At 43.3% G+C, this 17,807-nt stretch overlaps 1 long non-coding RNA gene across 2 annotated transcripts in view, besides 2 other annotated features; it reads left to right on the plus strand.

The window, feature by feature from the left end:
- The window catches only part of LOC107987065 (uncharacterized), a 65,083-nt gene that overhangs the window by 1,527 nt on the left and 45,749 nt on the right, over positions 1-17,807 (plus strand). The gene's annotated exons all lie outside the window — the stretch shown is intronic.
- Positions 1,394-1,733: an enhancer, noted in NCBI's record as "active region_28413". NCBI's record gives its function as "activates an Ori minimal core promoter by ATAC-STARR-seq in GM12878 lymphoblastoid cells {active_cell/tissue: GM12878}" and the evidence as "EXISTENCE:reporter gene assay evidence [ECO:0000049][PMID:35858748]".
- Positions 7,886-8,395: an enhancer, noted in NCBI's record as "NANOG-H3K27ac hESC enhancer chr9:38325532-38326041 (GRCh37/hg19 assembly coordinates)". NCBI's record gives its function as "activates a minimal SCP1, AML or CMV promoter by ChIP-STARR-seq in naive H9 embryonic stem cells {active_cell/tissue: H9 hESC(naive)}" and the evidence as "EXISTENCE:reporter gene assay evidence [ECO:0000049][PMID:30033119]".

The following is a 17,807-nucleotide window of genomic DNA, read 5'->3' on the forward strand; positions in this document are numbered from 1 at the left end:
ATTTCAACATTCTTGATTGCCTACTTGTGCAGTTCTGTGAATTCTCCTTTGAGTGAGTTGTAACAGCGGATGGATCCCCTCATTTACTGAGTTAAATGAAGTGTTTGATACATGTTCTTTTTATATTTGAATCATTGTATTCATTTTCTATTGCTGCATAACCAATGACCATACATTTATCAGCCTAAAACAATACCCATTTGCTTGTTTGCGGTTCTGTAGGTCAGAAGCCTGAGCATGGGATGACCGTGTCCTCTGCTCGGGTCTGCTGAACTCAAGGTGTCAGCCAGGCTGCACTCCATTCTGGAGTCTCTGAGGGAAGAATCCACTTCTGAGTTCATTCAGCTTGTTGGCCAAATCCACCTCTTTGAGGCTGGAGGGTTGTAGAGCATTTCCTTTTCTCTAAGGCCCACAAAGCAACCTCTATTCATTCCTTAACACCCAACTCAAATATCAGGTCTTTGGGGAACCTTCCTTCAGCAGCAGCACAGCACAGCAGTGGGAAGAAAATGGGCTTTGAAGTTCATTGGAATTTTGCTTCTGCCATTTTCAAGCTGAGTGGCCTTGGGCAAATTATATAAGCTCTCTGAGCCTTTGTTTCCTCATCTGTAAACCAAGTACAATGCAGTCTTCGATAGTAAGTGCATCTGACTGACTGATAAGCAGAATAATAATAAAAGCAGTGACCACATATGGTATGCTTGCCATGTGCTGGACACTAAGCATGGCTAAGTGCTTTATATGCCTTTTTCACTTAATCTGCCTACCAACCCAATAAAGGAAATTCTATTATTACTCCATTTTGCTGATGAGAAAACTGAGGTTTAAATAAGTTGAACCCAGTCTTACCTGTCGCCAAATCCTGTGCCCTTGGTCATGATGACATATTCCTTCCTAAAAGGTACTCAAGAAATTGACATCCCCTTTCCCTCTCTCTTCCCCTCCATGCCCACCTCTGGACCATCAGAATTGCTTTTTCTTTCCATGTGTCCCCATAACCCTGTATACCCCAAGGCCTCTCTAATACCATGTAAGACACAGTATCAGATTTTTTTCATGTGTTTCTCTTTCCCCAAGCCTCCAGCATTGGGTCTGGCATAGGGCAGGGATAGAGTACCATAATTCAAGTGAACTCATGAATTATCTTCAGTCCTTTTAGGAAGTGACCAGGGTATAATTTATATAATAAAATGATTATTAACCTACATAAATAAAAGAGAGAAAACTGTCCCTTCCACTCCATTCCCTTTCCCTCGTGTGCTCTCAGCTGAGGCGATAGGCCCCAGAGGAATTCAGCAGCAGACAGATAAAAACATCAAGGCCTGTTCCAGCTTCACACCAGATCCTGGAATTTAATTTAACTTATACAGACGTCGGTGTTGATGCTCTTGGGGGCTCCCAGCGCAGCCTCACAGAACAGCTGGTAACAACTGTGATGGGTTTGCCTTCACACCTCAGATGGAATCACAGGGGAATTCCACAAAGGCAGGGCCCTGGAAATCATTTCACAGGAAGAGTCTCGTACGCTCCAAGGACCTCAGTTTCAGGACGAACTGCCGAGATCATGCAGTGAACCCGCTTTGTTTTTAAAACAGCCAAAATGAGGCCCAGGGATTTCCCCAACATCACATGCCTTCCAAGTTTCGATGAGCAGCATTAAGAATGTAAACAACAGCAGCATATTACAGCTTGAGGTGTGCAGTTCTCGTACTTAAGAGCCTGTCTTTCCTTTTCCCCATGTGTTCTGCAATCAGTGTAGACTGTCACCAGCAAAGAGCAGACACAGGGTAGTTAAAGTGGCCCCAGTCACCGGGCATGTGTTTTACATGAGATCCAGATTACCATCTGAACTCCCCACTTTGTTATTTTTATATTAAATTCTGACTTTTTATATTAAACTGTGACTATTTTTATATTAAACTATGACTCTTCCGTATTAAACTCTGATTCTGAAAGCAGATAATTCAGGGACAAAAACAGCTTTTAAAGTGAAACCAATATAGAACACATTTCTTGTGATCTTTTTAATAATTTTCTATTGCCAGCTGAATTTAACCGTGATCTTACTCCATATATCGATTGAAATTACAGTTTTAATTCACCATGCATTTTGTTTTGTATGCCAAAGCACCTTGGAGCTTTTCCCTCAACTTCAATCTTGGAATTACATTTTCTATGTTTGCTTATTTTACAGCACACTGAACTCTGTCGATTCAATAAAATTTAAACATGTGCTTATTTACGGAGCACTTATCATAGCCAGGGCTCTAGGGTGAGTGATTTCTTGAGAAAGATCTACAGATGTGAGTAAGAGGCAGCCTATGCCCCCAAGTAACTCATGATTAACTAGAGAGTAAAATCATTAACTGGTAGTTAAAAAACAAGGTGGTAAAGTAAAAATAAATCTGGAAATAATAAATGACAAGGTTTAACTACATAAATATTTGAAATGTCTGTAAGGCAAAAGACATTACAAATAAAACTAAAGTACAAATGACAAATTGAGGGAAAACATTTTCAACATTTATTACATACAAAAGGTTAATAGTGTTCATGTATAAAGAGCTTTCTATGACTCAATAAAAAAAAAAACAACCTAATAGTAAATGTGCAGGAGACTTGGACTAGAAATTCACTTAAAAGAAAGACAGTGCTCAAAGAAGTACAGATTAAAATGACAAAAGTAAGCCGGGCGCAGTGGCTCACACCTGTAATCCCAACACTTTGGGAGGCCGAGGCAGGTGGATCATTTGAGGTCAGCAGTTTAAGACCAGCCTGGCAAACATGATGAAATCTCATTTCTACTAAAAATATATTTAAAATTAGCTAGGCGTGGTGGTGGGCATCTGTAATCCCAGCTACTTGGGAGGCTGAGGCAGGAGAATCACTTGAACCTGGGAGGTGGAGGTTGCAGTGAGCCACTGCAGCCTGGGCAACAGAGTGACTCCATCTCAAAAATAAAAAATAAAAATAAATAAATAAATGACAAAAATATATTTTTACCTATCAGATTGGCAAAACACTTTTATATATTGATAAAGCTTAATGTTGGTAAGATGGTAGGGAAATGTATACCCAGTCGGGGAGTGGGTAAATTAGGAGAAAGTTTTAAAGGCAATTTGGCAGAATCCATCAAAGATTACAATGTGAATCTCCACTGACCCAGGCATTTCAGTTCTAGTAATTTATTCTGCAGATTTCTTCATTCAACTGCACAAAGATACATGTCCAAGTTTGTTCACTGCAGCTGTTTGTACAAGTGGGAAATTTGAATATTTTATATACATATATATAATTTGAGACTTTTATATATATATATAACTTGAAACATATAGATTCATAAAATGAATTAAGATATAGGCATAAAATGTAATATTATAAACATGTCAGAAATTGATATGAAAAATATAAAAATATATTCAGTGAAAAAAAGCAAGGACTGGCTTTTCATATAATATATTCACAATTGTGCAGAAGAATCAAAACATAAGTATACATATACCTATAAATGCCTATACATTTAAAAGTTCTGAAAGGACCTATCACTACCCTATTATAGTGATTGTCTTTGAGGAACTGGGATCTGAAATGGCTTTCAACATTTATTATACACACTCTTTCTGTCTGAATTATTTGTAACTAGAAAAATTTAAAAGAATATGATCTAACTCCTTTTGCTGATTCCTGTCCCCCAAGCCCCTTCCCAAGTGCCATGTAGCTTGCCATGTCAATTTGCCATGCAGAGACCTGTGAACATCGGACTCTGGTCCACGTGAAGACTCCCAGTTCTCTAGCTTGGGTGATGAATGGATTTTGACAGCTTCATGCAGATTAGGGGAACACAGGAAGAAGAGTAGATGTGCGGAGGAGGAGGTGGGGATGAGGTTATACATGTGGGGGGCGCCTGGAGGCGTGGGGGAAATGGTCAGCAAACAGCTGGTCATACACATCTGAAGTCTAGAAAAAGTCCTTCACTTGTAGGTGATTACTGAGATCAAGACAGGGAGAGATGACACTCAGAGAGGTACATGTGAGAAGAGAAGATGCCCCAGATGGGGCAGTTTAGAGCCACACTGGCCATCTTTCTGTCTCTTCAATTCACCCAACTTGTCCCTGCCTTAGGTTTCTGTATAATTTGAGACTTTATGTATGTCTTATCCACTGTTTCTTTTTTCATTATGTAATGATCACCATTATTCCTAATAATGTGTTTGACACTAACATCAATTTTGTCTAAATATCTATACCACCTTCCTTTTGGTCAATATTTTCCTAGAATACATAGCATAGGACTTTTAATAAAAACATCTATCTGAGAATCTCTGTTCTGTCATCAGAGACTTTGGTCTATTTTCCCAGGCCAAAGGAAAATAGACCATCTTTCTTTTGGTCAGTATTTTCCTAGAATACATAGCATAGGACTTTTTATTAAAATGACCATCTGAGAACCTGTATTCTGTCATCAGAAATTTTGGTTTATTTGCTTATATTGTTACTACCAATATATTTGCATTTATTTCTATCATCTTATTTAATGCTTTATATTTTCACCATGCCTTATTTTTGCCTTCTGTCAGTGTGATCAAATCTTCTTTTATTACATATTTCCTCTCCTCTCATTAAGAGATAAAACATACTGTTTCCATTTGTATTGGTTATCTTTGATTTTTCAATGTGTATATTGCATAATATCAAGTTTATCACTATCTATACCTTCTTCCCAAACAATTCAAGAATGTCAGAACACCTTGGATGTTGGTACACTCCTCCTGTCTCATTGTTATCAGGTATTTTAGGTGCCTAAAGTAAAAGGCACCTAATTTTTTTTATTTATTTTACTTCAAGTTCTGTGATACATGTGCAGAACGTGCAGGTTTGTTACATAGGTATACATGTGCCATGGTGGTTTGCTGCACCCATCAACCCATCATCTAGGTTTTATGCCCCACATGCATTAAGTGTTTATCCTAATGCCCTCCCTCCCCTAGCCCCCCACCCCCGGTGTGTGATGTTCCCCTCCATGTGTCCATGTGTGCTCATTGTTCAACTCCCATTTATGAGTGAAAACATGAGGTGTTTGGTTTTCTGTTCCTGCATTAGTTTGCTGAGAATAATGGTTTCTAGCTTCATCCATGTCCCTGCAAAGGATGTGAACTCATTCTTTTTTATGGCTGCATAGTTTTCCATGTATATGTGCCACATTTTCTTTATCCAGTCTATCATTGATGGGCATTTTGGTTGGTTCCAAGTTTTTGCTAAAGGCACCTTATTTTTATATCCTTCAGATAATAATTAGTACTTTATACATTCAATGCATGTTTAGATTTAATAACATATTTACTATTTCTTTCCTGACATACCTTCTTTCATTCTACTACTCCTTCCTGGTCTTGAATTTCTTTTACCTAAAACATATCCTAGCATAATTCTTGCAGAAAGGGTTGACTGGTGATAAACTCTCTTGGTATTTGTCTGAAAATGACTTTTTCAACCCCTCTTACAGTCCAATTCGTTTTAGAGTTTTGTTTTTGTTTTTAATGAACGAGTGGGTTATAGCAGTCTACGGTTATCTCAAACAAACAAAAGTTCTGGGGGTTCATTACCACTAGCCCTGCCTTATAGTAAGTGCTAAAGAGAATTCAGGTTCAAACAAAAGGATGCTAACTAACAACATGAACATATATAAAAGTATAAAACTCAGTGTAAAGGTAAGAATATACTCAAATTCAGAATACTCTAATACTGTAATAAAGGTGCATAAATAATTTTTAACTGTAGTGTAAAAGTTAAAAGACAAAAGTATTAAAAATAGCTATAGCTATAATAATTTATTAATGGACATACAATACATAAAACATAAATTGTGACATCAATAGCATAAAATTTGGGAGGGAGGAGAATTTAAAGTGTAAAGATTTTGTGAGCAGTCAAAGATAAGTTGTTATAAACTTAAAATAAACTGTTATAACTATAGCAGCTTTATGTAAGCCTCATAATAACCACCAAGGAAAAAAACTAGTAGACACACTAAAGAGAAAGAGAAACAACTCAATAGCACGAAAACAATGCAACTAAAAAATGGACAGAGGACCTGAAACATCTCTCAAAAGAAGACATACAAATGGCCAACAGGTATATGAAAAAATGCTCAAAACTACTAATCATCAGGGAAATGAAAATTAAAACCACAATGAGATATTACCTTGTTCCAGTTAGAAAGCCCATTATAAAAAAGACAAAAAATAAAAAGTGTTGGCACGGATATGGAGAAAAGGAGACCCTTGTATGCTGTTGGTAGGAATGTAAATTAGTACAGCCATTATGAAAAACAGTATGGAGGGTCTCCCTCTCCCTCTCCCTCTCCCTCTCCCTCTCCGTCTCCCTCTCCCCACGGTCTCCCTCTCCCTCTCTTTCCACGGTCTCCCTCTCATGCTGAGCCGCAGCTGGACTGTACTGCTGCCATCTCGGCTCACTGCAACCTCCCTGCCTGATTCTCCTGACTCAGCCTGCCGAGTGCCTGCGATTGCAGGCTCGCGCCGCCACGCCTGACTGGTTTTGGTGGAGACGGGGTTTCGCTGTGTTGGCCAGGCCGGTCTCCAGCCCCTAACCGCAAGTGATCCGCCGGCCTCGGCCTCCAGAGGTGCCGGGATTGCAGGCGGAGTCTCGTTCACTCAGTGCTCGGTGGTGCCCAGGCTGGAGTGCAGTGGCGTGATCTCGGCTTGCTACAACCTCCACCTCCCAGCCGCCTGCCTTTGCCTCCCAAAGTGCGGAGATTACAGCCTCTGCCCGGCCACCACCCCGTCTGGGAAGTGAGGAGCGTCTCTGCCTGGCCGCCCATCGTCTGGGATGTGGGGAGTCCCTCTGCCTGGCTGCCCAGTCTGGGAGGTGAGGAGCGTCTCCGCCCGGCCGCCATCCCATCTAGGAGGTGAGGAGCGCCTCTTCCCGGCCGCCATCACATCTAGGAAGTGAGGAGCGTCTCTGCCCGGCCGCCCATCGTCTGAGATGTGGGGAGCGCCTCTGCCCCGCTGCCCCATCTGGGATGTGAGGAGCACCTCTGCCCGGCCGCGACCCCGTCTGGGAGGTGAGGAGCATCTCTGCCCGGCTGCCCCGTCTGAGAAGTGAGGAGACCCTCTGCCCGGCAACCGCCCCGTCTGAGAAGTGAGGAGCCCCTCCGCCCAGCAGCCGCCCCGTCTGGGAAGTGAGGAGCGTCTCCGCCCGGCAGCCACCCCGTCCGGGAGGGAGGTGGGGGCGTCAGCCCCCCGCCCAGCCAGCCGCCCCGTCCGGGAGGGAGGTGGGGGGGTCAGCGCCCAGCCCGGCCAGCCGCCCAGTCCGGGAAGGAGGTGGGGGGGGCAGCCCCCCGCCCGGCCAGCCGCCCCGTCCGGGAGGGAGGTGGGGGCGTCAGCCCCCCGCCCGGCCAGCCGCCCTTCCAGGAGGGTGGTGGGGGGGTCAGCCCCCCACCCGGCCAGCCGCCCCGTCCGGGAGGTGAGGGGCGCCTCTGCCCAGCCGCCCCTACTGGGAAGTGAGGAGCCCCTCTGCCCGGCCAGCCGCCCCGTCCGGGAGGGAGGTGGGGGGGCAGCCCCCCGCCCGGCCAGCCGCCCCGTCCGGGAGGTGAGGGGCGCCTCTGCCTGGCCGCCCCTACTGGGAAGTGAGGAGCCCCTCTGCCCGGCCAGCCGCCCTGTCCGGGAGGGAGGTGGGGGGGGTCAGCCCCCCGCCCGGCCAGCCGCCCCGTCCAGGAGGTGAGGGGCGCCTCTGCCCGGCCGCCCCTACTGGGAAGTGAGGAGCCCCTCTGCCCGGCCACCACCCCGTCTGGGAGGTGTGCCCAACAGCTCATTGAGAACGGGCCAGGATGACAATGGCGGCTTTGTGGAATAGAAAGGCGGGAAAGGTGGGGAAAAGATTGAGAAATCGGATGGTTGCCGTGTCTGTGTAGAAAGAAGTAGACATGGGAGACTTTTCATTTTGTTCTGTACTAAGAAAACTTCTGCCTTGGGATCCTGTTGATCTGTGACCTTACCCCCAACCCTGTGCTCTCTGAAACATGTGCTGTGTCCACTCAGGGTTAAATGGATTAAGGGCGGTGCAAGACGTGCTTTGTTAAACAGATGCTTGAAGGCAGCATGCTCGTTAAGAGTCATCACCATTCCCTAATCTCAAGTACCCAGGGACACAAACACTGCGGAAGGCCGCAGGGTCCTCTGCCTAGGAAAACCAGAGACCTTTGTTCACTTGTTTATGTGCTGACCTTCCCTCCACTATTGTCCTATGACCCTGCCAAATCCCCCTCTGTGAGAAACACCCAAGAATTATCAATAAAAAATAAATTAATTAAAAAAAAAAACGAAAAAAAAAAAACAGTATGGAGGTTCCTAAAAAAATTAAAAATAGAACCACCACATGACCCAGCAACCCCACTTCTGGGTCTACAGCCAAAGGAAATGAAATCAGTATGCTGAAGAGGCATCTGCACTTTCATGTTCATTGCAGCATTATTCACAATAGCCAAAATATGGAATCAACCTAAGTGTCCATCAATGGATAAAGAAGATGTGGTATATATACACAATAGAATACTATTTAGCCTTTAAAAAGAAAGAAATCCTATCATTTGTGATGACATGGATGGACCTGGTGGGCTTTGTGTTAAGTGAAATAAGCCAGGCACAGAAAGACAAATACCACGTGATCTCACTTACATGGGGCAATCTGCAACAAGTTGAACTCATAGACGCAGAGAGCAGAATAATGGTTACAAGTGTCCAGGGATACGGGTGGGGGAATGCGGAGATGTTGATGAAAACACAGAACATTTCAGTTAGGATGAATAAGTTCAGGAGGTCTATTCTACAGCAGTGTGACTATATTTACTAATAGTGTATTATATACTTGAAAATTGCTAAGACAGTAGTACAAAATAATCTGAATATGAAGTGATAAGTATGTTAATTCACTTGATTTATTCATTTCACAATGTAAAAATATATCAAAATATAACATTGCATGCTGTAAATATATATAATTTGTATTTGTCAATTATATTTTTATAAAGCTGGAGGGGATAAAGCTAGCAACAGCTAAATTAAAAAATAATTCTAGAGTATTTTTCATTGTCTATGGTTTCTATTATTGTTGAGAAGTCATCTTTTTTTTTCTAATATAGAGACAGCGTCTTGCTATGTTGGCCAGGCTGGTCTCAAACTCCTGGCCTCAAGCAATTTTCCCACCTCAGCTTCCCAAAGTCCTGAGATTATAGACGTGAGCCACCATGCCCAGCCTCACTGTCATTTCTAATAAGTCTGTCTCGTTGCTTTGCTTTTGAGATCTTCTCTTTGTCTTGGTCCTCTGTAGTTTCAGTCTGATATGTTTAGGATTAAAAAAAATCCTGTTTGGTACTTGTGCTTATAGAATCTGAAAATTCTTACTTTTCATCAATTTGGGAATATCCTTAGTCATTAGAGATTTCATGCCTCTCATCAATTATCAAATATTCTCAGCCATTCTCCCTTCTAATGGTGCCTCTCCCAATTCCTTTCAGCTCTAACCATACCAAAACCTATTAAATGTATATTGGAGCTCCTTATTCTATCCTCCTAGAATGAGCTACTCATTCCACCTTCTCAACTTCAGTTTCACATTTTCAGTCTCTTTAGTTCACAGTACTGCATTCTGGATAGTAGCCTCAAAGCTATCTTCTACTTCACTAATTCTCTTAGTTGTGTCTAATTGTGTGTCCATTGAGTTTTTAATTCCAATGATTATATTTTAGCATCTAAAAGTTCCACTTGATTCCTTTCTAAATCTGCCTGTTTCTCCCCCATATTGTTTTGTTTTACTTGTCTTCAGCATCCTTTACACTTTTGTTGTTGTTGTTTTGTTTTTTTGAGACAGAGTCTCTGTCACCAAGGCTGCGGTGCAATGGCATGATCTTGGCTCACTGGAACCTTCACTGCCTCCCAGGCTCAAACGATTCTCGTGCCTCAGTCTCCCAAGTAGCTGGGATTATAGGCAAGTGCCGCCATGCCCAGCTAATGTTTGTATTTTTAGTAGAGGCGGTGTTTCACTATATTGGCCAGGCTGGTCTCAAACTCCTGACCTCAAGTGATCTGCCTGCCTCGGCCTCCCAAAATGCTGAGATTACAGGTGTGAGCCACTGTGCGTGGCCTTTACAAATGTTTTTGATTATTATGAAGTATTTATTTTACAGTCTCTATCAGATTTTCAACTATCTGGGGTAGTTGTCTAATTCTGCTTTTTGTTATATTGCCTGATTCTCACTTATTGAAGGTTGTTACTCTTTATTTTTTCTAATTTGCATTATAAGCTCATCTGTGGGCTTTATTTGTGGGAATTAAGGGCACAGGTCAAGACACACAAGTGAATGGATCTTTTATTGTCCACATTTCATTAACAGTTTGGCCCTTTGTGTCCCAGGCTTACTGGGCGGGAAACAAGGAGTTATGGTTCTAACCCTCCATATTGTCTGGGATCCAGACCTTATTTCCTGTGGAACAGTGTGGTCATCTAGCCCAAGGTTAAACTGTCTTAACTCCCCTCATCTTCCAAATTCCCACTAATTTGACCAAAGGAATATAAAGTAGAGAACAATCTCTACCAGGGATGAATACCAACAAAGGGTGGCACTTGCCAGAAATTTGAGACATTTATATGAGACATTGTGCAAGAGGGGAAGGCTAACTGCAGTGGAAATCATTGTAATGAAAACGAATCTCATCTGAGGAGCGAGGGCCCCAAAAGTGTCTCAGTGCTTTCCTCAAACTTAAAGTGGTAAGTTCTGGAGGAGAGAAAGAGTATAGGGAAGGAGAGGAGTTAAAATCTCCATCTACATCCAGACTCTGGAGGTTGACTGGCACTAGGACTTTGCATGGTGGGCCATGGCAGCCCCTCGGCCTGCACTGGGTCTAGGTGTCTCCACAAATAAAGATCATACACCCCTGCAACTAGCCTCTAGTGAGGGCAGCCGTGCAGGTTACAGATGCTTGCATTTGCTTCTGGCTGCTGCAACAAATCAGAAAAGATTTCTGGCCATGTGGCTCCTTTTGACTGTTTCTGTCTAATCCCATATAAATTCTATCTTGGAAAGGTAAAAACACATAAAATCCCATTGTTTTCCTTCTTAGCTCATCTGGAACTGAAAGACTTAACCACACAGTCACACATTCTCTAAATAAACCCATTTCAGCCCCCAATTCTGAACAAAACCTAGCTTTCTCATTTGTTAGGATGAGCAAATAGAGAAAAATTATCAGATATAAAAAGATTTAATGGTTCAAAAGAAAGAGACTATATTTGAGGAACTGAGAGAAAACGGCTGCCTCCAATTAGTCTTATGGCAAGAAATAGGGGGAAATTTTGATAAAACTCTAAGTTGCCTTCTCAGTTACATTCAGGAAAACATTGCACCTATGAAAAGAATTGGTCTGAAATCATACAAGCTTCTTTTCAAATTAAAAACATAACTGATGAATAAAAAGGTAACAGAGTTAGTGAAAGTTAGATTGGACACTGTAAAAAAATCAAATTTGCAAATTAAAACATATGCTTGATATATTCTTCTAGAACCCAGTGAATACAAATAAAGAGAGACTTAAATGACGGGTAAAAAGATCAGACAGGTGGGAAAAAGATCAGGGCTCTATTTTACCCCAATAGAATTTTATAGGTAGTAGAAATGCTGGAAGGAAACTGTGGTAGATTATTAAAATGACCTCCAGTGGGTCATGCCCCGCTGTGTCCACACAATGTAACTCTAACAGTCCTAGCAAGAGACAGAGTCTATCTCCTCATATTTGGGCTGGCCTGTGATTTGCTTTGACCAAGTGAATGCAGAAGTGGCAGTCTTTTGTGACTTCTGAGCTTCCACTTTAATTCTTGGAACCCTGAGAACCATGCCGTGAAGAAGCTCAGTTTAGCCTGCTGGATGATGAGAGGCCATGTGGAAGGCAACCAAGACACCCAGCCAGTAGCCAGCACCAACTGCTGGACATGTGAGTGAGGCCACCTTGTACCCTCTAGCTCGTCAAGCCACCAGACAATTGCAGCTCATACATGATCGATTGAAATTTTTTTAAGAAGATACTTAGGTTTAGAGATAAAAAGTACAGCAGGAGAACATTTCAGATTGCCAATACACAAAATTGTAATCAATAATGAATCCAACGGTTGTTTTAAACCACTAAATTGTGGGAGTGGTCTGTTATACACAATAGATAACAGAAACAAAAGAAGAATCATTAAAGAAATAATCATGTACAGGAATTTCCAGAGTACTCTTTTCCGCCAGTGGAATCAGCTCTAATATGAGCCAGTCCATTACCAGCATGAGGAGCTCAATTCCTAGTCCCTAATTCAAATATTGCCCAGCAATGTTATTGTGATCCCTGGCTATGACAGTGAGGTGAGGGCAGCACTAACCTGTAGCAGCTGGCTTTGGTGGGTCATCTCAGAAACACGGGACACTTGAGTCACACGGCGGCCAGCGGGAATTATCAATTGTCATCTTTGGAATACAGCAACAGCCATGTCCTTGACCCACGCAATAACTGTGCAACACCGCGGGCAGTGAGTCAAGCTGCAATAGCTGGGGCCGGGGACTGACCGCCTTGGTGAGCACCCCAAGGCGTGGAAGGGACTGCGTCCTCTGTTCTGGCTAGTGCCTAGCACTGGACACACATGCCCTTCCACTCCAGTCCTTTCTGTGTTCACCAGCACCAACAACCAGGGGTTGTAATCCAGGGTCAGGAGGGGTTTCAGCAGGTACCCAATTCCTGGTGACCTCCCTGCCCTCAGACACAAAGGCCTGGTGCCCACCCACCCAATGATACATTGTAATTGTCTCAGTGGTCTTGGGAAGAGGCTATTTGCACAAAGAATTTCCCTGCATTCCAAGAGTGATGAAGGTGACTCTGTGCCACTTCTCTTTTAAATTAGAGGAGAAAAAAGAAGTTTAATTTTGACAGTAATACCTGCTACACTAGATAAAAACCTCCCCTAGCTAAAGACTGGCATGTTTAGATTAAAAATGATCATTGACTACCAGGGAAAAGTAATGAAAAGAGACGCGCATCTAGACTGACTTTAGTGATTTTATTTTAATTTCAAGGATAAAGAAAAATGATTATAAATATCCAGATAAGGAAAAAAGAAAAGAAAAGGATTTCTATGAAGGGGTGAGTGGAGTTACGGGCATCAAAGTTTTCCCCCATGGCACTAAATGCTACAATGACACATCTGTGTCAGGAGTCTCCAACACAACCTCCAGGTTTGATGGCTTGCTAGGAGAACTCTCAGGGCCCAGCATGTAGTAGTACATCTATTACATAGCTGTGAGTACTACTGCTCACAGCATTACATAGCTGTGAGTACATTTATTACCGTGAAAAGATACAAATCAAAATCAACAAAAGGAAAAAAGGTGCATGGGGCGAAGTCAAGGGGAAACCAGACACAAGCTCCCAAGAGACCTCTCCCAGGGGAGTTGCACAGGGCACCCTTAATTCCAACAGCAAACGAATAATGGCAACATGCGTGAAATGCTGTCTACCAGGATGCTCACTAGAGATTCAGTGCCTGAAGTACTACTGGGGTCTGGTCGCTAAGGCACCCTCTGGCTGGCACACACGAAAATTTCAGAATCCCAGAAGAAAAACAGGTGTTCGGCATAAAGCATATTGTTTGTACAGCTTAAGCACAGTGAGCTGCTCCGATCCATTCGGAGAATGATGGAACCCTCCCGAAATCCAAGTTCCCAGACACCAGCCAAGGGCCAACCTTGACAGCAGGTTTTTCTGAGGATATAGCCTCAGGCCTGCTGTGTTAGCCCTTTCCAGCACAACAATGAAACAACATTTGCAGATTTTTAGTTTAAAAGAGTATGACCCAATAACCCTTTATAAAGTCAGCTGAATTATTTATTGTTCATAGGGGACAGCAATAGGGAGACATTCTCAGATATCCAGAGCCTCAGAAAGTGTAACTCTTCATAGCCTTGAAAAAAAAAAACAAATTACTGGAATATTCATTTTCCATTGTTGCTGTAACGAATCGCCACAAACTTAGTGGCTTAAAACAACACAGATGTATCACCTTCTAGTTCTATAGGTCAGAAGTCTGACATGGGTCTCTCACTAGGCTAAAGTCAAGGTGTCAGCAGGGCTGGTTACTTTCTGGAGGCTCGAGGGGAGAGTCTATTTCCTGGCCTTTACTAGCTTGTGAAGGCTGTCTGCTCCTTCACTCATGGCGCCTTCCTCCATCACCAACGGTGGCAATGGCAGGGCAAGTCCTTCTCATGCTGCCCCCTCTCTGACTTGCTTCTATAATTACGTCTCTTTCTGTGGTCACAGCCAGGAGCCTCTCTACTTTGATGTGATTTATGCAATTAGATTGAACCCACCTGGATAATCCAGGGTACTCTTACTATCTTAACATCCTTAACCTTAGTAACATCTGCAAAACCCCTTTTACCATGTAACATATTCTCAGGGTCCAAGGATTCAAATGTAGACATCTTTTGGGGGCTATCATTCTGTCTACTTCACTATATTAGTCTGTTCTCACACTGCTATAAAGAAATACCTGAGACTGGGTAATTTATAAAGAAAAGAGGTTTAATTGGCTCAGAGTTCTGCAGGCTGTACAGGAAGCATGGCTGGGGAGGCCTCAGGAAACTTACAATCATGGTGGAAAGCAAAGAGGAAGCAAGCATGTCTTACATGGCTGGGACAGAAGCAAGAGAGAGAAGGGTGGGGGAGCTACACGCTTTTAAACAACCAGATCTTGTGAGAACTAACTCACTATCAGGAGAACAATAAGGGGGGAAATCCACCCCCTTGATCCAATCGCCTCCCACCAGGCCCCTCCTCCAACATTGGAGATTACAATTCGACATGAGATTTGGGCAGGGACACAAATCCAAACCATATCACTCAGTAAGTATCCTAGATAATGAAGAAATGAGTCAAAATAAAGCTCACAGGAGTGGTGGGAGAGGATGGTACAGGCGTTCCCCAGATGGAAGAGGAGACAGAAGACTAGAACCAAATGTTCCAAGGAGTGTGTTTGAAGAATGTAAATCATTCCATGGTAGGAGAACAGGTGGTGGGGGCTGAGGTGCGGGAGGAGGGGAAAGCAGGTTTGCAGTCAGATAATGAAGGCCTTGAATACCAGGTACAGCATTTGTTCTGTGTGTGAAGGCCAGAGGCAGGATCAGATGTGCACAGTCCTGAAAAATAAGTATGTTGGCAGTGTGGACAAGCGAATGCGCATGGTGACCCATGACACTTGCCAACCCCCTGAATTTGGCTCTGAGGGACTGGGAGGAGAGGGTAAAAGTGGGAACACAGTGGCTTCTGTCATTTTATTTTCAGATCTTAAAACCAACATCTTCTAGGAGCCACCTGGACCGCTTTTTAAATGAATAAAGCTGTAATTGGTAAACAGAGTGGTCTACTGCTTTGGGAGGTACCCAAGTCTGCCCCTCTACCACACAGGTGAAGGGAGAAGATCCCCAGCTTCCTGTCCTCTGGCAGCCACAGCACTCAAACCATTAAGGCCTCTGCCTGGGAGTCTGACTCATGGGAGTGGGCGAGGTAAATATGGAGCACATTCAGAACTGTGCATGGAAGTGGTTATCATGTCCGTTGTTGGGACCATCATTCCCCGCCAGGCTGAAATGTGATTTTCCACCCCAGCTTCGTGACCTACAACTGCTTTGATTCCTGCTCATTTCCAAACCTGTTCCTCCAGCTTTCTCTTGATCCTGTAAATACAATTATCCTCCCAATAGATTATTTAAAAAAAAATGTTTGCTAAAGACACAGTTTATTTTGCTTACAATGGGGAACCCTGGTAAAGTCAATGACTCTTGCTATAAAGCTGTGCCAAACTAAAGTTGTCTCTTTTATGCTACATAAGGCAGAACTGCAAGCTCCTAAATAACCGAAGTTCTTCTGTGAGAGAGATGGGCACCTCGGCTGAAAGTGCCCTTCTCTCTGGATGAGAATGCAGACTGAACTCTGAAATTCTCATAATCCAAAGACACTTTTCCTGCAACCAGGTGCTGACAATGAGGACTGTCCCTTTAACTGGCCACACTGAAGGCCTGCACAACAGGCCCTTTATAGAGAATCTTGTTGCAAAGGCTTCCAAGTGTGAGTTGTGAATCAATTGCAAAACACACCTGCCTGAGCCTTGAGGCAAACCATTGATATTTAATGGTCTAATGGTCATCCTCCACATTGAGGCCTGTCCCTGTATTAAAGCACCTGGACCAAGCTTTCTTAAGCTCATCCACCATATAAAATGCATTCTCCTCCAAATTATGATGGAGTCACACTGCCTTCATCTTTATAGAGGTTGCACACAAAATGCTGCTGGAACAATGAATGATGCCATTGCTGAGCAGCCATGTAGAGAGACCAGATTATCCCACTGAGCTTCGGTTCCACGTCTACACAATGGGAGGGAAAAACCTATATCTCAGAGAGATTGTGACACTCAGGTGAGCTAATGGATTTAACTGTAAAGACCTACACAGACATGCAAGAGTATAATTATGTCATTCCATGTCCTTCAACATGAGATCAAGTAATAAATTCCCTCTGCAATTTAATTCTAGGAAAACACTCTCTTTGCTAAAATAGGGATCCATGTGGTCCCTGCTCTCAGAAGAAAAGATAACATTGGCAGCCAGGGCTCTTTTACAGAAAGTGATGGAAACCCAAGTTGAAATAGTGTTAGGTCAAAAGGGGATTTATTGGCTCATGTGACCAGAAGAGGGCAGGGGTGAGCCTGGCCTTAGGAATGACTGGAACTGGGAAACAATTAATCGATCAATCCCTCTTTCATTCTGTTTCCCCTAGTCTCTCACGTTTGTGTCTCTCTGCATATCGCCTTTGTTCTCTCCATCTACACAAGCTTTCTCTGCATGCTGAAGAGCATGGCTCCAAACCCTTCAGACCCTCTTCAGCTTAGTAACCATAGAAGAAAAAGAATCTTCTTCTCCAGCTTCAAACTGAAACAGCCTGGGGATGAACTGAGATTGGTTCTGGGCCCAAACCAATGGTTTATTTCCTTTAGCCATGGAAATAATTTTGATGTGTAGCAGAGTGCCAATTGTCTCCCAATATCCATTTTCCCCTTCTAGCTGGAACCTCCATTTTTGGGCTGGTCATATTGCTGCCCAGTTAATACATTTCCCGACCTCCCTTGCAAATAGGTGTGGTCATGTGTTCAAGTTCTGATCAATGAGATGTAAGTAGAAGAGTTCAGAAGTATTTCTGGAAGCCCGTAAAAGGGAGAGATTGCTCTTTTATCCTCCTTCTCCTCCTTTCTATTGCTAGAAATGTGGATGCCATGGCTAGAACTCAGCAGCCATCCTGTACTGTGAAGTGGCTTTGGGGATGGAAGCTACATGTGGCAGAAGAACAAGACAGAAAGAGTCTGAGCCCCTGATACTATGTCTTTTCCTTACTTGTCTTGAACTGCCTCCTCTGCACACTTTTATGTGAGAGAAAAATATACCTTTATCTTGGTTTAGCCACTATTATGGAGGCTCTATTTGCAACCAAATCTAATATTAAGTGATATGCAACTCAGGTTAGGGGCAGAAGAAGGAGCTGGGGTGAAAACATCTCAAGAAACACAAAACAATAGCTGTGAGGGTGGCCCAGTGTCTCCCTTCCTGCCCTGGCCATTAGGAACCTCTCAGCTGTCTGGAGGTGTCCAGCCACCATGCTCCCTTCAGCCTCATTCTCTAATGTCCTCCTTTTCCATTCTGTGGTTAGTACCAATCC

The sequence above is a fragment of the Homo sapiens genome, chromosome 9, assembly GCF_000001405.40.
Source record: "Homo sapiens chromosome 9, GRCh38.p14 Primary Assembly".
Lineage (NCBI taxonomy): Eukaryota > Metazoa > Chordata > Mammalia > Primates > Hominidae > Homo > Homo sapiens.